The 23668-nt window shown below is 51.5% G+C and overlaps 1 protein-coding gene across 1 annotated transcript in view; it reads left to right on the top strand.

Moving 5' to 3' along the window:
- The window catches only part of GRIK3 (glutamate ionotropic receptor kainate type subunit 3), a 238989-nt gene extending 231759 nt beyond the window's left edge, over positions 1 to 7230 (top strand). Inside the window, exon 16 of the mRNA NM_000831.4 lies at positions 712 to 7230. Coding sequence (NP_000822.2) covers positions 712 to 906 — 195 coding nt within the window. The 3' untranslated portion in view covers positions 907 to 7230. The remainder of the gene's footprint in view (positions 1 to 711) is intronic.

The following is a 23668-nucleotide window of genomic DNA, read 5'->3' as shown; positions in this document are numbered from 1 at the left end:
GATATCAGCATCCCCCACTGCCTTCCATGCAAGCTGCAGGACAACCTCTGGAAGCCACCATCATCAGATACCTGCGGGAAACGCTGCGCTCTTGATGTTCCTCTTGGCTATGTGCAGGGACCCAGGCCAAAAGAAGGTCACTGCCACCCAACAGCCCTAGAGGGACCTGCCTCCCAGTTTTCCACCTTGAGAAACATGTGCTGGACTTCCCTGAGTGGGAAGACACTGATTCTTCCCCTTAGTTGGAAGCCCTTCCAGGAGAAAGTTTATCCATACATTCGTCAAATGTTTCTTCAGTCCTGACCCTGGGCCAAAGCTAGTGCTTTGGTCAGGGCTCGAAAGTTGGGCCCATGGGGATGAAACTGGCTGGTTCCTGCCCTCCGAGTCTAGTGAAGAAAAATGGCACAGGTAAACCAGAGCTCCTCAGACGTTAATGTGCATGCCATTCAGAACCTCAGTTTGCTCATGTATAAATGAGGTTAAGATGATGCCCCACCTACCTTAGTCTCCAAACAAGAATGTCAGGTTTTGTAGACTGCTGCACAAACTAATCATCCTGCAGGTGGCAGAGGGATGGGTGGGGTGAAGGTGTGAGAAAGACGGGTAACCTTAGCACAGACTCTGGGAGAAAGGGGAGGAACTGGCTGGAGTTGCAAGACCGGGCATCACTCTGTGCCCCTTTTCCGACCCCTCTCCTCCACCCTCCTGCAGCGTTCCTTCTGCAGCACCGTGGCCGATGAGATCCGTTTCTCCCTTACCTGCCAGCGTCGAGTCAAGCACAAGCCTCAGCCTCCCATGATGGTCAAGACTGACGCCGTCATCAACATGCACACATTCAATGACCGCCGGCTTCCCGGCAAGGACAGCATGGCCTGCAGCACATCCTTAGCCCCTGTGTTCCCCTAGGCACAGCTGGGGTGGGGACCTCAGGCCTGGGGGCTGGGCAGAGGAAAGCAAAGGAGATTGGAAGGAACGTCCCCTGTCCCCGCACTGGGCTTGGGGACCAGAGCTGCCACCTGCCTGTTGGGCCAGGAGCCTCCTGCCCTTACCTGCCAGGAAGCCAGCAGGCTCTCAGGCCAGCTGCTTGGGCTTCATCCTCCTCAGATCTTCTGTGGGTTTCTAAAGCTGCCAGCCGAGATAGCCAAGGCCAAAGGAAGCACATGCCTCTCTCAGGCCAAACTCACCTGCCCCTCAACTCTCCTCCAGAGTCAGAAGTTTCTGCCGCAGCCCTGCAGAGGGCACAGAAAATGGAAGACAGCTCTTATATTGCCATTTCTTCCACAAGAGCCCAGGCCTCCTACAGCTTGACCGTGAGGCCAGAGACACAAGCCTTCGGCGCCTTAAGGATGTTCTAGCATGGCTGCCAATGGGAGCTCATGGTGAGGGATACCCATCCCATATGCCTGGGCAGAAGGAAGACTTCATCCCTCTGGGGCTGTTCACGTGGTCCTAATCTTCTGAACTTGGCGCTGCCCCTGGCAGCCCCTGTTCTGGCAGAGTTGAAGACAGAGCTACACAGGGGAAAAGAGGAGTTTGGGGTATGGGAGAGAAGAGAATGCACAAACAGAGGCCGCCATTTTGGATTCTTATGGACAATGACCCAGTGGTTCCTAATCCTCTAGGAGGTCTCTAAGAATATAAGTGGGGGAGTGGCCACAGAAAATTCTTCTCCACTTTCTAGCCAGAGGAGAGAGGACCCCCTGAATTTCTCACAAAGGATGCCCAAAGATGCAGCCGGTATTTGAAGCCCAGCAGAGGAAAAGCAGATTCCATGGAAGTCCCACCGGCTCTTGTGCCAATGGATCTCACTTTCCTGGTTAGCAAGCTGTTGTCTAAACCCTGTTCACATTTGGAAACCTGGGCTCTTTGCCATCTTCTCATCAACAACTCCCCATTCCTGGCTGGTTGACCTTGGCCTCACTCTGTCTTTTTGAAAGAAGAGTTGGTTGAAGTGAAAGTCAAGTTGTCCCTCCTCAAAAAAGGAGTTAGTGTCCTACTACACAGACTAACTTTGGGCTAGGTGAGGGAAACCAGAAGAGACCAAAAGAACTTCTGGTCTCCTGGACTTACCAAACCTAGAGATGCTCCCCAGGAAAAGAAAGTTTCCAGGGACATAATATCATAGCTGGCAGAGGCCCCAAGGGTGGGGAGGAAGAAGCTGCCTCCTGGAGAATTAACCAAAGACCCCACACAGAGACATGAGGCCATCCTGGCCCCTTGTCTGTTGTCCAGAGCAGCTATGGCATTGTGGGGCTTGGGGAAGACAGCAGAGAAGTAGCAGCAGGTTGGGTACCAGCCAGGGGGTGGACCTATGAGTTCCAGCTTGCTGTGATGAATGCTCTAGAGGTCTGTGACTTTAAGAGTCTTGGAAAAGAATGAGACATGAAGGATTAGGAACAAAGTGTCCTTAAAGAGAACATGATGGGCCAGCAGGGTTACCATGGCCAAGGATGGAGGGGCAGGTTTTGAACAGGGGAGGGAGGTTCTGGGGATTCTGGATGAGAACTGGGGCATACCAGCCACTCCCCTCCCACCTCTGTCCCATGCTGCTTGGGAAGCCCGGTTAGGGAAGAGCTTCATTTGGATCTCAAGGGCTTTCTCATCTGGGTGAAGGGCAATCTCTAGCAAAGCAGGAGACCACAGTGGGCTCATGTGATAAACACTGTCCCTCCTCCAGACTGTGAGCTGCAGGACCAAACCAGCAGGTTCCCAGAATCCTAGCAGCTCTGACTGGCTATGTACATTGGACGAGGGAGAGGAGGGCTAGACATACACCAAAGCCCCATGCATGTAATGTTAGGAAAAGCCATGCTGTCATAAGCTTCAGGGTACAGAGGGCGTGTGCATGTGTGTCTGTGTCTTTGTGTTTGTATGTGTGAGCTTCGGGGGCTGGGGCACAGGACAGATCTGGACATATAACATAGTCCAGGGCATGCAATAATAGGTGAATCCTTGGGGATCTGATGTGTGCATATGCGTGCGTATGTGTATCTGAGTGAATTGGGGACGAGGGAGACAAATATGTGAAGCAGCAAGGCCCCATATATGTAAAAACAGGAGAAGCCATGTCATAATGGGGCCCTGGTGGGTATGCATATGTAAGCATGCATGCATGCATAGGTGTGTGCATGCTGGTGTGTGTGTGTGCACATGTACACTGAATGGCATAGGATGGAGATCAGGATCTTACCTGCAGCTAGCCAAATATGCGTAAAAGGAGAAGCCATGTCACCAAGGGGTCCATGTCTGAGTGCATGTGAACACATGTGTACAGGCATGTGTGCACAGTGGGGAGCGGGGGGAAGGCCAGGACCAGAGAGTCGTGTGACATGGGTCAATGCATGCTGTAGACAAGAAGCCACGTGGAGTTGAAGTTTCCGAGTGTGTGGGACACACACATATGTTCCAGGTCACAGTGGAAGCAAAGACAGACAATCAGGAAGGCCGGGCACCAGGGTCTGTTTGCACTTCTGTCATGGGAGAGATCATTTGTCACAGAGAGGTTCCAAGGTTGCATGGGCACACTTGCCAGGAGACGGGGGCACAACCCTTCAGGGGCTCATGCTGCTGATGCCTTTGCTGTGGACATCATGTCCTGTTTGAAGGGAAAACTCTTTTTTGTAATTCCCAGGTAACAGGATTCTAATGAAGGTATTTGCCAATTTGCTGTCAGCAAACACAATCATTAAGCGCCGTCTTACTTTGTCCAGTATAGTTTCAGAGCACGTGCCTCATTCTTGCTCTTGTCTCACACATGTGTTGTGTGTGTGATGCTACATGAGCATGTTCTTCAGAGGCTATGCATATATGTGGATTGTGACAGGAGGAAGAAGAAGTGGTGAGAATTTTTATAAAACGAACAAAGAATAGTGGATAAATAGAGGCAGAATTCAATTCGAGAAACCCCCCAAAATGTACCGACTGGTCTTTAGACTCCTGTGTGGAAGCAGGAGGGCATGCTGCCTCATCTCCTCTCCCAGGCAAACCTTGCGTCCTGATGTTCAGGTGTTGTCGGTGTGGCTGATATTTGGCTTCTGGCCAATATCCTGCATTTGTCCTAGAGACCAGCCTAGTGTTCAAAGTGCAGTGGGGACCACAGCTGCCCAAGCATGAGCTCTGTCTCTCCCGGGGCACTGAAAATGATGCTACATCTGTGAGGTGGGACGGAGTGGGGAGGTGTTTTCAGTGAGGCAGATCTTGTGTTTTTTTAAGTTTAGGTCTGTCCTGCCAGTGGGCATGGAGCTGAGCTGGGGCAGGTGCATGCGTGTGTGTGTATGTGTGTGTATGCATGTGTAGTGTGTGTGCACACACGCAGGCACTGAGAGGTGATGGGAAGCATGAAAGCTTGCTTGGATGGAGCAGAAGAAGGAACCTGCCTGAGCAGATGCTGGACTGTCCCTGCGTGGTGCCACATGCCAGCCCTGAACAGAAGAATGTCCCCACTGCATCCCCAAATGCAAGTGCCTCCTCTCCACCTGCTCAAGCTGGCCAAGTTGAGGGGCAGTGGTAAGAAGACACCAACCCCACCGCCCCTGCCGAGGCCCTGGGACTAAGGACAGTGAGCCCTCCCAATCACTCTCCCCTTGTCCTGCTGCTGGTTTCTCTGCTCTGGACAGAAGAAAATCCTGAAAGCGTTGTCAATGTTCAAGTGGCCCCATGCTGCAAGAGTCTCTCGCGAGGGGTGACGCCCCCTTGGCCAGTGTGCTGGACTTTGAGTGTCTGAGGGGTAAGAGGGCCACCCCCTCCTCACAGCCGAGACTCTATCTAACCTGGAAGCACACTCTGGCTCCACCCCCAACCCCTGCCATGCCCTAGGCCCTGGAAGATGGGAATCCTGGCCCAGGCCAGGGTAAAGGGCCAAACAGGTTAGAAGTTGCTCCCCTCCACCAGGCGTGCACTCACCAAGAACGATCAAAAGCTCCCTTTCTGCCTACTTTTCCAGGGGTACTGGGTGTGGGGGGTGGGTCACAGCTCCTGCTTCATCACTCAGCATGAAGTTGGTCCCTCCCTGAGCCACTCCCAGCTACATGCACAAACATCTGAAAGTAGGCTGGCCTCTCTGGCTCACATCTGGAGTGGTCCTGTGTGGATACCCATCTGCAAAGGGGCTAGAGGTTTGGACAAACAGCTGCATGGACTTATCATCTGGGATGGGCCCAGCCTCATGGACAGATACAAGAAATGAGCCCAACTCTGTGGGCAGGTCTCTGGATTAGACACATCTGAAAGTTGCAGGTCAAGTGGACACATCTGGAAGTGGCCCGGCTGCTGGCTGCCATGGAAGGGCCGTGCCCTCTGTCCCCATGGCAGTTTAAATCAGGCCTTCCCTTCAGTCCTGGATTTGCCCTGGAGTAAAAATTTCAGAGCTGAGGTCATACGTGAGTCACAAAACTTTTAGGTAGAAGGTTAATGTTCTGTACAATATATATATGAATGTAAAATATATATATATACTGTATATATATATATATATGCACAGTGTATATATGACCTGTAGCCCATGTGTATACAACCCTTTCCTGCACGTCTGCACACGGAGTGTACAGAACCCAGCCAGCACGGGTGAGGACCAGATGAGAGATGGGGGCTGCAGCAGCAAAGTCTGGGACGGAGGTCTCAGAGAGCCCCTTGGGGTGGCGAAGGCCCTCCACACATCAGAGCTCCAGACCCTGAAGAAGAGGGCAGAGCTACATGGTGCTGCCAGGTGAGTCCTGCACCGCCAGGGCCTCCTGTGGGAGGGGCAGGAATGGCCAACGGACCTCATCTCCATCCGAGCCTGTCTGAGGCAGGACAGCTGGGTGTGTCTGAGAAGCAATGTCATGCTAGTACTCAGCCCCTGTGCCAATATTACATTCTAGTTCTGGGGCAATTCATCAGGAGCAGAAGGGCTGGGAAAGAGCAGGCCACTCCCCAGGCCTGTTCTCACACCTGCCTGCAGAATCACAGGTAGGTTTCAGGCTCCATCTAGGATACCCTAGAAGGCGGGGCTATTCTAGGTAGCAAAAGCCTCTGCCTCTGATTCTCACCCACATGCAGAAGCAGTCACAACTTGCACACAACACAGCTCACAACTAGGGAAAGCACTTGTTAAAGAGAATGCCCCCAGGGCATGGCCAGCATGCCGATACAGTGTTCCCATGCCCCTGTTACTGATCCTGTCCTCCTGCCTTCTAGAACAGTGGACCTCACATCACCTCCCAGATTGTCTCCATTTTATGGATTGAAACTCTGAGGCCTCCAGACATGAAGAAGCAGCCATAGATTCAGTCAAATGCCAGCCAAGGGTTTGCCTTGCCTCAGACAACCTCCCCAGCCCCATTTGACCCAGAGACCAGCTGTCAGGGAGCGACCTCAGAGCCAGAGGGGTGAAAGATGAGAGGCAAGAAGGTAGCTCCTATCCTAGCACAGCCCAGGCTCCATCTGTCTGCCTTTCTCTCCCCTGCGGCATCCTGGCAGGGCAGTTGGCAGAGTGCCCCCTCCCCAGGAGGCTGCAGATCTCTGTCCCTGGCTCACCCAGATCGGTCTGTTCTCTGCAGTTCCATTCCTTTAGCCTCTTTCGCAGGTCTGAGCATCTCTGGAGCATGCAGGGGAGGAGATATCTGAGGTGGGCTTCCGTGCAGTCAGCAGCCTGCCCCAGCTTCAGCCTCAGGCGTCAGGCTGGTCTGCACTGAACTCTGGGTCTGCCTCTGGGGCCCTGACCAAGCACGCCTGACTCCAGCCCCATGAGGAGCATCCTGTCTTGGTTCCGTAGGGATCATGGGTCCTCTTACCACTGTGCGCCAAGCCCCCAGCCCACCTCTGCCTGGGCCGACTTCCTGGTTGGGCCTCCCATGGTAGGGGCCTCAGTTCCCAGGCTCTGGGCTGAGCCCCCAGGGAGCACCATGGGCCTCTGAGACCCTAGACCTGTCCCACCACCCAGACCAGAGTGCCTGGACGCCCCCCACTCCCACTCAACATGGTTCCCACACACTGGTCTCTGGGCCATTCAGGGGATGCCCTTTGTGGACATGCAGAATTTCTATGAATATAGTTTTTTGTAAACATTTTGTAACAATTTGGGTTTCATAGTAACTGTGTTACTTGCCAATCATTCTAGGCTGATGTAAATAAATTTCCAAACAAATCTGATTATTTTCCTTTTTAAGACACTGTGATATATCAAAGTGCACAGTTTGCTGTATGAAGTAATATGGTTTTAAATTTTAAATAAAATGTTTCTAGAAAACAGGGCTCCCTTGAGGCGTGTTTTCTGTTTCTCTTCTCTCCTTAGAATGAGAAGGTGCTGGGCGACGAACTTTTGTCATCTTCCCCCAGGGATGACTGTGTCCCAGGCAAGAGACCCTGGTGCCCAGCAGGCGGGTGGCTCCAGCCAGGCTCCTGGTTCAGACATTGAGGATGTGGGGTCTGTCCTTGAGACTGTCTGACCTCTGTCTTCCCTTCCCTTGGCAACACCCCTCCCTCATCTCCATCCACACACTCCCTTGGGAGTTGCCACATACTTACTCACGTGGCCCTGTCCCTTTGGTCACAGCTAGTGAGGTCGGGTAGACACCTTATCCCAGCTTGGCCACAGTCTGGCCTGAGCTTTTTCAAACTGGAAATGAGAAAGCTCTATGTCAACTGCCCTCTGGAGACGGAAACTGCTCATACAATCAGAGTACAGGGCGGGACATTTCCAGCAGGAAGGGATTCAGTATGGAGGTTTATAAAACCAGTGGAAGAGATGAGGGAGCCTGGCCAACTTGGTCCTCCAGGAATGGCTCCCAGAATAATACAGAACTGACCCACCAGTGCATGACCACCTCTGAGCCTTGTGCCAGAGCTGGGAGGGAAAGACACACCCTAGAGCTGCAATCCAGGGTCCAAGAAGTCTCCATCAAGACACGGGGGCCGCCACCACCCCACATCATAGTGCTCCTCGGCACCCAGGAAGTTGGAGATGAGTAGTGGACTGAAGCTGCTGAAAAACCTCATGTTCCCATGACAGAAACAGCCCAAAAGGGAGTGGGAAGGTGGCCTCTGCCTCACCTCTGCCTCCAACTCTCATTCAAACAGATTGAATTGGTAGAGACCCCTTTCCAACCAGAACCTTCCATGTTCTCCTATGACATCATCTTAAAAATAGCTCATGGTTATTGAGCACTTTCCATGTGGCAGGTGGTAGGCTAAGCTCTTAACACATATGATCTATTTTGAATGAGAGATGTCCCTCAAACCCTGACACATCTCAGACCCTGACTCTGCGTGACTTTTCAGTCCAAATGTCCACCACCCTTGACACGGGCTTAAGTGTCCCAGGCCTAATTACCAGGAAAGTGGCTATGATTGCACCAGCTTGGGTCAAGTGGCCGCTTGTGGTCCAATTAGCTGTGGCCCGAGGGAGAAAGGGGTCACGTAATACAATTATGGGACCCAGGATCCCTGCTTTAGGAGAGTTGAGAAAACTGGAGAAGTCAAAAAAAAAAAGGCAACATGAGTTGGCAGGTCTCCTAAAATATGCACCTCCCATTCCATCAGCTGACAAGTGCCAGGGAAGCCAAGCCACGGCCCCAGCAGTAATCTCTGCAGAATGGAGAGGAGGTCGGGGCCCAATAGGCCACATTGTCTGGGAGCTCTGGTCTAACCTAGAGCCACAGCCCAGGAGGAGACTTTGGTCTGAGCCAGGTAGGAGGTGAAGAAAGGCCCTGGGTTGCAGGTGTCAGCCATTGAGAAGCAAGGTCGGGACCATCCCTGGAGAGGAGCACCCTGAAGGTCAGGTTAGGCTGCAGGTCCAGCAAGGAGTGGGGGGATATGGACAAGAGACCTGGTAGAAATGAGGCCCACAGTGGGGGTGAAAGAATAGGTAGAGGACCCATTCATCCATTCATCCATCCATCCATCCACCCATTCATCCATCCACCCATCCATCCATCCACCCACCCATCCATCCACCCAACCATCCACCCATCCATCCATCCCCCCTTTTATCCATCCATCCATGCACCCACCCATCCATCCAAGCACCCACCCATCCATCCATCCACCTATCCATCCACCCATCCATCCATCCACCTATCCATCCATCCACCACCCATCCATCCACCCATTCATCCATTTATCCATCTACCCACCCATTGATCCACCCATCCATCCATCCACCCATCAATCCATCTGCTCATCCATCCATCCATTCATTCATTCACAGACTTAACTAAATATTTTATGTATGAGTCCCAGCTCTACCAGCTACTAGCTGTGTAACTTTGAAGAAGCAACTTCACATCCTTGAGCCTGTTTCCTCATCTGTAAAATGCATGAGTGTGAAAGCCGCCCCCTCATGGAGTGCTTGTGGGGATTAAACGAGAAAAAGCACACTGCATATTTAGCACAGGGCAGGCACATCATAAGCCAACATAAATGCCAGCTATTTTCATTAAGAAAAGGGAGAAAGATGGGGAGAAGAAAAATTAGGAGCTACTATGGGCTGAGTGCTCTCTGGATAGACAGGGGGACTCCTCCCTCCAGGACTAACCCTAACTCAGAAGCCTATCTGTGATATCCTCGGCTCTGGATGGGGGCCAGCCAGGCCTCTCAGATTACTGACTGCACAATGGGTGCAGGAGCAGTGATGTAGCTGTCCTGGCTCAGGCTCCTGTTTCTATAACCTCAGCCATTTCTGCCCCAGCCTCTCCTTGGCTAATGCCTTGTGCTCCTCTCGTCTCCAGGACATACATGGGCTCCTAGTTCTAGTGCACCAGTCCCCAGAAGCAAGACATTCAAGGAGGCCCCTCAGTCAGGAATTGGAGCAAGACATTCAAGGAGGCCCCTCAGTCAGGAATTGCTGTGGCAAGAAACAGACACCTACTCAAACTCACCCGGGCAAAAAGGGGGCTTCATGATAAGGGGTCTGACGGAAGACAGTCAAGTTTCTCTCCCTCTATCTTTCTCCCTCTCTCTCTTTCTATCTCTCATTCCCTTCCTCCCCCCTCCGCTTCCTTGCTCAAGGCAGGACATGGCCACCCCCATCTTGGTTCAGGTCCCCCCAGCTTCAGGGCCCATGTCAGTGAAAATGTCCCAATTCCAAACCGTCCACCCACTCCTTCAGCAGAGAGAGCTGGATGGTGGAGTTCTCAGAGAACAGGTATATCTGACGAGTCACTGTAGACCCACACTTCTGAAAATGCCCTGAGGATCTTGTTCAAATGAAGGCTGGGGTCCACTCGTCTGGGACAGACTTGGGTGTCTGCACTGGCCACAGCTCGCAGGGGCTGCTGGGCTTTTGGCCTGCTGCCAGCACAGCAAGTGGCCGGGCTGTGGTGGGATGATGGTGGGGGCGTGTGGGGAGGGGTCACTGAATGCAGCACAGGCCTCGGAACCCTCCTGCTCCATGCTCTGAAGGCACAAGCCCCGCTCACCCCATTCAACAGCATCATAGAAATGAATCCTCCCTTGAGTCCTTAGTTCCCCATCAGAAATGTTGATTAACTGAGCATCCCACTTCACTTCCATATTTTTCTGTCTTATCTAGCCCCAGAATATCTATGCTGGCAGGAATGCCCCAAGTCCTTCAGGATTCAAGTTCGCTCAGGACCCCTCTGCTAGGACTGATGGGCAAACCTCCCCAAGCAGTAAGATCAGGGACTCTGGAGTCCAGCTTCCTGGGTTCTGCTTCTTGCTCTGTGTCTTCTTTTCTCCCACACTTTTTTTGGAGATTGGGTCTCACTTTGTGGCCCAGGCTGGAGTGCAGTGGCACAATCATAGCTCCCTGCAGCCTCGACCTCCTGGGCTCAGTGATCCTCCCACCTCAGACTCCCAAGTAGCTGGGACCACAGGTGCTCACCACCATACCTCGCTGAGGAAGGTTATAGGGATTTGATGAGATTGTCCACACCAGGCACACAGTCTATCTCAGCCAACGTTAGCTATTACTGTGGAGGGAAGGTAAAGAATGACTTGACCCCTCCCAAATATGCCAAGGGGGAAACTAGCCCAGGCACAGAGGAATCAGGAAACAAAGGTGGTCAAATACTCAGCTTTAAGTGCAAAGTTGTTAGTCCCAGTCTACGACCCAAAACATCTGGAAGTTTCCTCTCCACTACCTCTCAAATTTGGCCAAAGTTTCCACAGGCTGGGAGGGAACTGGGGAGGGACCACCAGACAGAGATGGAGCCCACTGCAGAGGCCTCCCAGGTTCTGGGAGAACATGCAGGTTCAGTTGCCAGCCCCAGGGAGCCCTGAGGAATGGACCCACCATCTCTACCTGCATGAGTCCAGTACAGAGCCTGGAGAGGTGCCTCTCTAGATGTCTTGCTTAGTGGCTTCAAAATGACACTTGCCTTAGCATCCAGGTGACTCCCACTGGCCATCTTGCATGAGTCAGGACCATCTGTGCCCTGAAAACTTGCTCCGTTCCCATTCTCCCCAACCCATGCAGCCAAGCCCTCATTCACTGAATCAGGAAATCAGGACTCTGCCCCAAACACTTAGAGGAAAGGAGGTGCTATGGCAGGGAACCCCTGACCCTAGCCAAGTGCAACTAGACTAGAGATTTTCCTCTGAGCTGGGGAAACAGTGCCCATGCCACTATTTTATTCATTACTATTATTATTGTCATTAGTTCTGCTTCCAAGGCAGTCATTGCAGAGCCCTGGTGGCTTGGAGGTAAGAGGACAAAATATTTCTGAAGCACACTTTGATATGGTTATTTTTGTTCTCTAGGTCTGGGAGAGTCCCATCCCACAGTGGCCCCTTTCTTTTGACCTTGGTCATCTCACCCTGCTCAAGGAACAGGGGTCTGAGACCTGTGGAGATGGCTCCCACCTCCCACAGGTCCCCCACCCCCCTCTAGGTCTGGGACCTGCCCTCTCCCCAGCCATTCCCAGTGAAAAGGGCCTCCTGTCACTCATGGAGGTGCCCAGACAGGAGACAGGGACTAGGAATAGGGGGCAAATTCTAAGATCCCTCTACCATCTTAATTTAAGCAGATGGCCTTGGACAATTCATAAGCCTCAGTTTACTCACCTGTGCATTGGGAGTGCCCATTTTGACTGTAACAGGGAGCTCGTGAGAATTTTTTAAATGACATGTGAAAGCATGTGTTAAGTGTGAGGCATTGGGCTGTTTGTGAAGCTCCTTCACTCTTCAGTCAGTTCTCCCCTCTCTCCCTTCCTACCGCCCTGCCACTCAGGTCCATCTGGAGCAAGCCAAGGAGCAGCAGGAGGTCAGGGCTGGAGCGCCCCAGGGGCTGCAGGCCCCTATTCCAAGAACCACGCTGGGCCAGGGTACATGGCTCCCTTGGAGCTTTGATGGCACTTCTTTGGGAAACAGAAGCTGAATGTTTAAGAAGCATCTGTCATTATGGAAACGAAGTTGCCAGGCCATTTTTTCTTTTACTATTTTTACTGCGGTTTCATTATCTTATGCAAATGAGGCCGCTGATGAAGCCTTTCTGCAGGGTGGCCCATGCTGGGACCAGCTCTACCAAGGGGATTTATTGCCTGCCTCGGCCTCCAGAAAGGATCCGAGATGAGGATTCCCCACGGAGAGGACTTCCGGAGCAGCCACCACACCTGCAACACTCGGCTTCCCACCAGACAAGCCCCTAGCTCCTGCCTCCATCCCAGGAGTGCCCTGGCCCATTATCTGCAAAGACCTGAATGTCAGCCCACTTGGCTCAGGCCTCTGTCCCTGATTCCCCAATAGCCAGAGCCCCTTGAAGACTAAGTTACCCGTACCCAACAGGATATAAGGGAAAAGATGGGAAGCGAAATATGTTAGCTACTTGATTCACATCATGCCCATAGTGCTAGGAGAAAAGCATGATATTATCCCCTTAGTTTGAGATCTCCTGGAAGAGGCCCCTGAGACAAGGGCTTGAATACAAGACAAAGATAGGGGAATAGGGATGTGAGATGCCAAAGGGAAGCCAGCTTATAAGGGGTACAACATCAAGCCAGTCAACCCTGTGGGCAGCTGGAACTTAACTCCATGAAGAACTCTGGGAGCCAGCAGAGAACATGCAACTCAAGAATCTCCCATTGAAGGAGTGAGGGAGCTGGGGTATGTATACACCAAGTCCTATCAATCTTTGGTTTAGGACTGGTCCCCCAGAGACAGCCAATCCCAGGTACTTCTGGCATGCCACAAGGGGGCAAGGTGGACTCTGGGCCAGGACAAAGCCTCAGGCAGAGCAGTGCCCATCTTTGCAGTGGGAAGTCAGGCAGCTTGCCCAGAAGGGGTAAGGGCAAGACACTGACAGTATGTGCTATGGCCCCATGTCACAGATGAAGAAACGGAGGCTCAGAGAGGCCAAATAACTTGCCCAAGGTCCAGGGAGTATGTGGTAGGGCAGAGTCTAACCCAGGGCTCTCTGCCTCCCAGGCTCTAAAAGCCAATAGTGCCTCACTGGACCTTGGGCAAGCTCAGGCTCCCAGGGTCCCTGCCCAGACTCCCACCTGACCCCAGACCCCCCACACTCCTTCCTGCAGCTCTGGCCTCGCTGACAGCCCCTACAATGTCTTCCTGCTCCAGACTACCTCCCAGATCATCTCGTCCCAGCATAAAGTGTGTTGGCAAAGCACACCCTCTTCCCGGTGAGTTCAGCAGCTCGCAGATGTGGAGAGGTTTTTCTTCAGGAGGTAGAAGGCCTCTGTTCTGTCTGTCTAGCCCAAAGACTTACTTGCCCTTTGCTGTGAGAACCAGCTTCCCCTCCCTCCCACTAATTCAGCCTCAGATCACTAAGAATTCTCTAAACTCCAATAACACATCCTCTGGGACAGAGCCAAGCATTTCATGAGAGCCTTCTAAGCACCGTGCCCTGTGCAGGCACTCTCCTCTCTGTAGGGAGATTTAATCCAGTTCCATATTTCCCAGGAGCTGGGCAGTGGTAAAATTAAAGATGTGGAAAACCTGAAGCTTCCCAGCCCCACTTGCCTGCAGGTAACGATGAGGCCACAGCAGTCACCATAATCCAAATGTCACTTTCTGTGTCCTCTTGCACAATCCAGACCCCTCCAGCCCCAGTGAAGTCCAAGGGACAGACCTCTTCTGCACTCAGAATCATCCTCCCATCTGAGACTGAAGGCTTCAGAGCTCTTAGTGCTCAGGTCTTTTCCAGGAGAAGTTGTTATCAATAATAATAAGAATATCAATAATGATAATGGGCTGGGTGCAGTGGCTCACTCCTGTAATCCTAACACTTTAGGAGGCCAAGGTGAGTGGATTGCTTGAGTCTAGGAGTTTGAGACCAGACTGGGCAACATGGTGAAACCCCATCTCTATAAAAATAAAATAATAATATTAATAATGCTAATAACAACAGGATGCAGCTAACTGAGTGACAATTCTAGACCTGGCACTGTGCTTGGCTCTGAGCATGCCCATCTCATAGGATTCTCAGCATAACCCTATACGCTAGAGATGTCATCTCCATATTACAGATGTGAAAAACCAAGGCTGAAAGAAGTGGAATTACTCTCCCACAATCACCCAGTAAGCAACAAAATGAGGGCTCCAGTCTGGGACCTCTGTTTCATAGATTTGGGAAATGAACAAATGAATGAGTGAATCAGAAAACAGTCAATATCAATGCTGTTTACAGACACTGGGGAACGTCTGTGCTTATGGAAAACAAACATCCAAACTTGATTGGGCCAAAACCGAGAATTACTAATTATAGTCACTCATAGGAACGACCTACCATTTATGCCTAATTGCAGTGCAGTCCAATAACAATTATGCACATCAATAAATGTGTCGGATTAACTTGGTTGTGAGTTTTATTTGATCACAACCCTAACTCTGCTTGTGGTTGCTCAGACCTGGGAGGCTATGGTCACACTGCCTGGACCCCCTGGTCACTTCCGGCTCAGTGCGGAGGACCATTGGTACTAGAAGGGAAGTGGAAGATGGGAGAGGAAGGAAATGTTTTCTCCTCCTTCCTCTGCCACAGCGTGTCCGCACTGGCAGGCTCAGGGAAAGCAGTTTGGCAGGGGGTCTTTGCAGGGCGTGTGGAACATCACAAGCCTCCCCTCCCTTCCTCAGTGCCAAAGGCAGCTTCCTAATTAGAACATCCATAACCCTCAGCATCTGCTCCAAGAGAATTCAGCTGCTCTAAGATGGAGAAGTCCATTAACTTTATTGCACAAAGCGTCAGACGTGCTTTTAGACAGAGGATCGCTGCCAAGTGAGATAAACTGCCTGGACCTGCCAGCGGGATGGGCCAGAACTTCCTGCAATCCCCAGCTGTGTTCCTGGGACTCTCTCCTCTCTCTGTCCAATGCCCTGGGTGGTACCGTGTCACCCTGGGAGGCTGGAGCCAGGGAAACGGTATCTTTCAAATGCAGGTGCAGCCTGAGCACCCAGCCTTCATGGGGCAAACCCGCAGCCTGGTGGATGCCCAGCACCAGACAGGCACCACCTGACTCCCAGAATGCATCGGGACTCCCACCCCACAGCCAGGCAGCTCATTCCTACATCAGCAGAAATTGGAAGAGCTGGTGTCTTTAGAAGCAGTAGAGCATGGTGGCTAAGATGGAATTTCATCTTTGTCGCTTAGGAGTCACTCTCTGACCTTGCAAAAGTGCCTTAACGTCCTGGGGCTACTCCATAAAAGGGGCTGAGTACCCCCCACCTGTAGGAGGGTGAAATTAGACAATGCCTGGAACTTATAGCGCAGTGCCTGATGCATAGTGAGGGCTCCATAAATGAGAGCACCCTGCCTAAGTCTCCAGTGTGGAAATGGAGAGGGAACAAAAATCCACCAGTGTGGGGGTGAGAGTAAACACCAGTTTGGATTCAAACAGCCCCAGGTTTTAACCTTAGCTCTACCATGTGACTTAACTCCCTAGGCTTTCAGTTTCCTCATCTGGAAAATGGGGTTGGTATTCCCTGTCCTCTTTTCCTCACGGGAGAATCAAGAAGGCATAAAAGGCTGTGGGGCCACTAAGGGATGTTCTGACATGCAGCGTTGTGGTTCCCATTACTGTGGCAATCAACCTCATGTCTAGTGTTCCCTGGATACACCAATCCCAAGGCTGGCGGCTGGCTGGGCCTCCCTCAACTCCCAGTCCTGGAAGTCATCTCTGCCCAAGCACCTCCACCACAGCCCTCCCACCTCCTCCCGGGTGGCCCAACTCCCCACAGAGAGCAGCCCCAGACCTCCCAGCCCTGATGGATGTCTCACCATGTGGGCCTCCCAGGCCTCTAGTCTCAGATTCAGATCCCTTCCTAATAAGAATAATTAGAAGAAACAATCAGAGGGGGAGGCAGCAGCAATAGCAGTCGACCCCAGTGATTTCCCAGCCTCGGGGAGAGCCCAGTTCTGCTCCAATCCAGTTGCTGTAAATTCCCATCAAGCTAAGAAAATATAGTGCAATTTAGAAACACTGATACGGCAATAAAACACAGATCTCCAGCAAATGGAATTCGGCAACATCTAAAAATGGAGCCATACATTACTCGGCCTGAAAACTCCCTCCAGGGACGTGATGCTGGGAGAAGTTAGGGCAGTTTTATGTTCAAGATGATCTTTCCTTTCCAGATGAAGGCAGGGCCACCTACAGCAGGGCCTCTGGTAGCCCTCTCAGGCCTCTGTCCATGGCCCAGAGAAGGATTCGAGGAGGGCTCCCAAGTCAGAGAGGACCCATGGTCTGCCTTCCATCCTCCAGGGGCTGTTGGAGGGAGGGAGAGGATCTTCCTGTGTGCCATTTAGTCCTCATAAGTGGCCTTCGAGGGAAAGGTGGTTGTTTCCATTGATCAGATGAGAATACTGATAAACAGAATGAGATTTGTTCAAGGTCACTCATGGGGAAGTGGTAAAAGCTGGATTTGGACTCACGCTTGTCTGCCTCTTTCTAGTCTACATGCCGTCTTATGTCCAGCTCAGGACTCAGCCCTTGGACTCTGCAAAAGCTAAAACTAAGCCAAACAAAGCTGCTCCCTGCCTTCTGAGCAGGTAGCCTGACCCCTGGAGTGGGGACAGGACCATAGTCCACGAAGGAGTTCATCACTCTGCTTCCTGGGACCATTCGCCTGTTCCTGTAGCTCCACTCTGCAACCCTGAAACAGGAAGAGGTCCCCTGAGATGCAGTCTCCTGCCTCCTCAACAGAAAGCAGGGGGTAGGGGATCCTCTTGGGAAGGATGGAGCTTGAGAGCAGGAGGGCTTTGGATGAGTGGAGGGCAGACCCATGCGCCCATTCAACCTAACATCTCTACTTCTCTCTAGAGAGGATGGGGATGGGGCTCCATTCTCTCTCTCTGGCCTGGTACATACCCTCCTCCCTCCTCATCAGCATGCCAGGCTCCTTGCTAAACCCACCTGGCCAGCCTCCTTGCTGAACCCATTCTATCAAATTCTTGCTCATGCATGCACCCACACGGGGACACACACCCCACCCAATACTCATTTCAACCTCGACATTTGCTTAGCCAGTCCCTCCTCCAGACTATGAGCCCCACAGGAGCAGAAAGTGGTGTGCTCGTGGCTCATGACTGACTCCCACCCACTGGACTAAGCACAACTCAGGGATTGACTCCACTGACATTTGGAACACACTGGGGATCGCTTTCACATGCTCCTGTGTGTCCTACCAAGCCCTGGCACCAGGAGCCCAATAAGGGCAGAAAACCCAAGGTGGCCTCTTTAGAGTTTGTGTGTTAAGAATTACGGCTCAGGACACAGGCCTGACTTCCAGCTCTGCCACCTGCTAGTTGTCTGACTTGTGGAAGTTACTTAATCCCTCTAAGCCTCAGTTTCCTCATCTGTAAAATGCAGTTAATAGGAGGTCCTGCATGGAAGGCTGCTGCAAGGATCTAGTGAGATGATACATGGAAAGCATACAGCACTACACTTGGCACATAGTAAATGATCAATGAACGGCAATTGTATTAGTTAGCATAGGGCAGGCCATGCTGTGACAACAAGCCCCAGTGTCTTGGTGCTTTACACAGCGAACTTTATTTCTTCTGCACTTTGATTCCTCCGTGTGTCAGCTGTCGTCCATTGTGAAAATCAGTGATTTAGGCTGCTCTGATCTTGTGATTCCATCATCTCAGCAAGAGGTCTTCTCATAATTGCCTCAGCTGAGGAATAAAAGGGCTGGAGAATCATATCAGTGCTTTTTGCTGCCTCAGCCTAGAAGCCACACACATTCCTTCCAGCCACATTTCAGAGGCCAGGGCTAGACATGTGACTCCACTTAGTTGCAAGTGGAAGTAGGAGTGCATCTTCCCTGTGCCCAGGAGGGAGAAGACAGCAAGATCCTGGTAAGCACTAGTGATGTCTTCCTCCGTACGCGTGGTTACAGGCCCTTTCCTGCACCCACATCCACTTCATCTTCCTGGACCCAGAGCCAACTCACACCCTGCTGGCAATTTTCCTATTTTCTCCTTCAATTCTGTCATGTCTCCTCCCAAAGAGCGGCAGAGGAAACACAGGCCCCCACTGCCCATCAGCTGAAGCCCAGCCGTGGCCCAGGGGAAATAGCTCCTTACAGAAGACAGACTATTTCTAAAGTCCTCCCCTACTCTCCTCCAGCCCCTTTCCTCTGACTGAAGGGCCGTCATCAACTCAGTGACAACCCAGAATTCAGGTCTCCAGCATCTGATTGCAATTGTGCCTCTGACTGTCAGGGATAAATGTCTGTTGTCTTAAGGAGGATCTGTGTTGATGGAGGTGTCAGCACAGGCAGTGGTGGTGGAACCAGGCTCCCTGCGAGACGTAATTTGTGGGCAAGTCATGTATGTCCAGCTCCTGCCAGAACTCGGGCCCCTGAAGGTGGGGTAGGCAGGACCAGGGGGGTGGGGGACAGATAGGTGTAGCTGTGTGGGGGGAAGGGCAGAGAACCAGAAGCCAGAAATGAGTGACTTCCGTGGGTGAGGACAATATATCAAGTGGAACCATCAGCCCTAGGGGAAACTGTAGAGGATGCTGAGCAGTTGGGCAGGAGATAATGAGGGTCCCTGAAAGTGGAGTCTGGGAGGACTAACAGACACAGGGACAAGAACACGGGGCCAGCAGGGGCTTTGGAAATTAGATTTGAACCCTGGTTCTACCACTCAACAGCTGTGTGACATTGGATTCATTGCTCAACCTCTCTGAGCTTCCTCAGCAAAGAAGCGCTCAGAAGCCCTGCCCTGTGAGCTTATAAAAGTGCAGTGAGGTGGATCCGAAATGTTCATCCCCTTGGGGTTTGGCCCCCAGTGGGTAAGCCTGGTGGAGGAAGGCAGAGGCCCATTCTGGAGATCCTGGGCCACTGCAGTGGACAAAGGAGATTCCCCACCCAGACCCCTTTGATTCCATGGTGCACGTGTCTTTCCACTGCTGGGAATGTTGGCTGTTCATGGCTCCCAGTTGTCCCCTTCTCAGGTGCCTTCTTACCCATGAGGTTAAGATTCTCATTTTCTAGCACCCAGAGCAGGTCACAGCCAGTAACCTATGACGTGGTCAGAAAAAGGCCATCCCCTTTTCTTAAGATGGGACCAAGTCTGTGGTACTTTGCCTGAAGCTACCACCTGCCCAGATGAGACCTCATCCTTGCTCACTCAGCTTTTGCCCCAGTCTTATCCTGATCCCTCACTTTCCTTCTGAAAGCAACACATTCCTTCAACACACTTTGGGCACCTAAGTCCCCTTCTCAGGCTCTGCTTCTAGAGAACCTAAGACAGACACCAAGCAGGGCTCCAAGAAATAGAGTCTAAGGTCTAGGGGTGGCCCTGGAACCCGGCCATGACCTGGGACTGGCCCAGGCTGAGTAGGCAGACAGGCCTCACACCCAGACACTGAGCTTCTAGCTGTTGGGTGAACTTTGAACCCCTGCCTTGTGGGGAATGGCCCTGAGCTACTGTGAGTCAGGAGGGGCGTTTGGTACCAGCTTCATGGAGAGAGGGACTGAGCAAAGAAGAGGAAATTCACAACTCTTTTTATTTCTGTTTATTGCTTTATTCATTGAAGTCTTATCCCCATGTACTTAAACAGGATTTGAGGAGCTTAAAACTAAATGCATTTAAAAGGGAATGATTGTAAAAGCAAAACAGTGCAAAAACCATGTCAAAGAAGTGAAATATTTTTATTTCCTCAGAGGCTAGCTGGGATAATAAAGGCAGAGCTTCTTACGTGGACAACCAGGAAAGAGGACTGTCAGAAACAGGGTCCCTGAAGAGTCAACAGATCCCCACAATTCACTGGGAGCTTCTCCTGAAGTTAAAGGTCCCTCTAGGATATCCTCCCTGTCTAACCCCAGAACTATGTCCCCTGCCAGAGAATATGGGTACTACCCCCTGGCACTTTGCAGGGCCTTGGGAAGTCCCTTCTCTTTCTGAGCACTCAGAGCACCCCCTCTGCTCAGTGAGGGGGCTGAGCCTGAAGATCCCTGGGGCAGTTTCCACCTCATATGTTCGAGGACTGCCTAAGAAAATTGACACTCGGCAGCTCCCAGGGCCTCAGGCAGGTGGAATGTGAATCCACATCCCTAGGCCCCAGGTGGGAGATGCAGGTACTAGGAGAGTCAGGAACTGATGGGCAAGGGCAAGGAGTGTGGATGCAGGCTCGAGCTGGCCCAGGGATGAGGGAAGCACAGGGGAGAGGGATCCAGGCAGGAGGACAGAGGGGCAGTCTGCAAGCTCAGAAGAGGACCGGAATAACCAATGAGCCCATATCCAACCGGGAACGTTCACCCTGAGCTGGGTTTAGAGGTAAGAGAAAGGAGCAGGAGCAGAGAGACCACCCTGTCCTGAGCCGACGGGGCCTGGGGCCCGGGAGTTTTGGGCTCTGGAGCTTGGTGTCCTCAGGATCTCAGATGACTGTCTGTTATTGGTCCCTTACTAAGAGGCAGGCACTGTACTAAGCATTTGAGGTGCATTCTCCCATTTAATCCCCCCAACACCCTTTAAGATAGATTCCATCATTTGCTTCATTTTAAAGTGAAACAAGGGTTAAGATCCCGGCCCAAGGTCACCCAGCTGGTAGGAGGCAGATCAGGCTACACCCTGGGTTACCTCTGATTTCAAGCCAGCACTGCTAGGAACCCTGTTTCCGCACCTCCCTCAGGGGGACTCATGGTGTTCGCAGTCCTGAGAGGTCCCTAAGGAAGCCAGGCCCTGCTTTACTAATGTCTCATTCATTTTAGATAGGACATTTGTATTCTAATAAGGGCCTTCTGGAGCTAGGCCCTTTATCCTAAGGGCACTGATGGGGAAATGTAAGCACCACGTCAGGACTGGGATAGGGGAGACTTTGGCGGAGGTGTGCCCTTTCGGTATCCATGGATGCCACCTGTGGTCAGCAGGGACCCCTAGCTGCTCTAGAACCCAGCCCCACCCCATCCCAAGATACCCTAAGCATTTGCATCTCCCAGGACTCATGAGGCTGTCTCCAGGTCTGAGGGCGGCCGTCAGTGTTGGCAGCAAGTGCTCCTGTTGGCACAGGGGAAATATAAGCTGCATCTGCCACTTAAAAAGCATTTCTGAGAAGTGCAGAGGCGGCAAGAGTGTGCAGAATTGTCAGCGTGTGGGGATTAGCAGGCCGGCACATTTCCTCCTGCAGGCAGCCCTGCTCCGCGGCTCTCAGAGACATAAGGCATTTCAGGAAAAGCATCGTCCAGGCACGGAGCAGCCGTTAAAAGGAAACCCAGGGAAGGCCATGGGAAAAGAGTGGCTGCTCTCTAGGAATGATAGGCTCCGCACAAAAGGAGCAGGGTCCCTGAGGAACCAGAGTGACCAGTGCCCAGCCCGGGCTGGGGCCTGCCATCAGGGGCCAACTGCTCTACTGGCATTTCAAGAACCCCAGAGAAATTCTGCAGTTACCACCACACCAGTCTGTGAGGTTGGTACTGCCATGATCCCCCTTCTACAGCTGGGGAAACTGAGGCTTGAATGAAAAGAAATCATTAAGAGTATGGTTAGAACTTGAGCCCTGGACCACACTGGTTCAAATCCCAGCTCTACCACCTTCTGGCTGTGTGTCCTTGGGTAATTCCCTTGGCCTCTCTGAACTTCAATTTTCTCACCCATAATATGAGAGAAATAATAGTACTTCTTCTCCCAGAGGTAACTATAGGAATTAGAAGAAAAATGTAGCTAAAGTGCCAGACTCATAATAAATCCTCAATAAACAGTAGCTTTGATTATTATTAGATTATTCAGGTCAATTCAGTTCAATATTTATTGACTACTTGGTTGAATGTATTAAAGTATATTGTCAAAACAAGCCAGTTCTTTTCTCCCAGTTGATGATAATGTAGAACTCTGCCCTCTTCAGCCGGTTGCTCTGCCATTGTGTGGTTGCAGCTACTGGACCATATAAAACAGGGGGAATGACCCAGCAATGCCACTACAGGGTGTATACCCAGAGGAATATAAATCATTCTACCGTAAGGACACAAAGACACACGCACGTGAATGTTCATCGCAGCACTATTCATAATAGCAAAGACATGGAATCAACCTAGATAACCCATGGGGCTGGGTTCTTAATCAGCTAGGGGTTCCTGCTGACAGGTGGCATCCATGGATACTGAAAGGCCTCACCTTGCCAAAGTCTTAAGAGACGATGCTTCTCCTGAAATGCCTTATGTCTCTGAGCGCTGAGAAGCAGGGCTGCCTGCAGGAGGAAACATGCCGGCCTGCTAATCCCCACACGCCGACAATTCTGCGCACTCTTATCACCTCTGCACTTCTCAGAAATGCCCATCAGTGACAGACTGGATAAAGAAAATGTGGTACATTTACACCATGGAATACTATGCAGCCATAAAAAGAGGAGCGAGTTCATGTCCTTTGCAGGGACATGGATGGAGCTGGAGGCCATTATCCTCAGCAAACTAATACAGGAACAGAAAACCAAATACCACATGTTCTCACTTATAAGTGGTAGCTAAATGATGAGAACTCATGAACACAAAGAGGGAAACGACAGGCACTGGGGCCTACTTGAGGGTAAAGAGTGGGAGGAGGGAGAGGAAAAGAAACGATAACTATTGGGTACTAAGCTTAGTACCTGGGTGATGAAATGATCTGTACAACAAACCCCCCATGACAGGAGTTTACCTATGTAACAAACCTACACACATACCCTGAATATAAGTTAAAAATAAATAAATAAATATAAATAAACACAGGCAAGCAAAGCCATCCCAAAGGCACCTGACCTCTCACTGCATGTGCTGGGCTATAGGGGGCCTATCTGGAGGTCTAAGTGGGAGAGGTCCCAAGGACTGAGGAAGCGGGAGGCTAGAAGACCAGATGTTGGAGGGGGGACTTTGAGGAGTGAGAAGCTGGAGGTGAGCAGTGCGGATTGGAGTTTGGAAGTCAGCCTCAGGAGCTGAGAGATAGGAGGTGAGTATCAGGGATATGGCGTCAGAGAGGAGACTCAAGGTGTCAAAGATTAGCGTGAACCCTGAGAGGTCAGGACTGGAGGTGAGAGTTGGAAGTTAGAGCCTAGATGGGACTCCTGGAGGTCAGCTGTTGGAGGAGAGGCTTGGCAGGTCAGAGAGTCAGAGGGAACATGGTGGTGAGAAGCTGGGTGTGTATCTCAGGAGGTGTGTTAGTTTCCTATTGCCGTTGTAACAGATTATCACAAATTTAGTGGCTTTAAAATAACACACATTTTAATGACTTGGGATGTATTCCTTCCTCTAAAAAAATAAAACTCAAATTGATCTTCTTATCATTCCGGAGACCAAAAGTCCAAAA

The sequence above is a fragment of the Homo sapiens genome, chromosome 1, assembly GCF_000001405.40.
Source record: "Homo sapiens chromosome 1, GRCh38.p14 Primary Assembly".
NCBI classification, from domain to species: Eukaryota; Metazoa; Chordata; class Mammalia; order Primates; family Hominidae; genus Homo; species Homo sapiens.
This window is presented reverse-complemented; position numbering and strand designations above follow the sequence as displayed.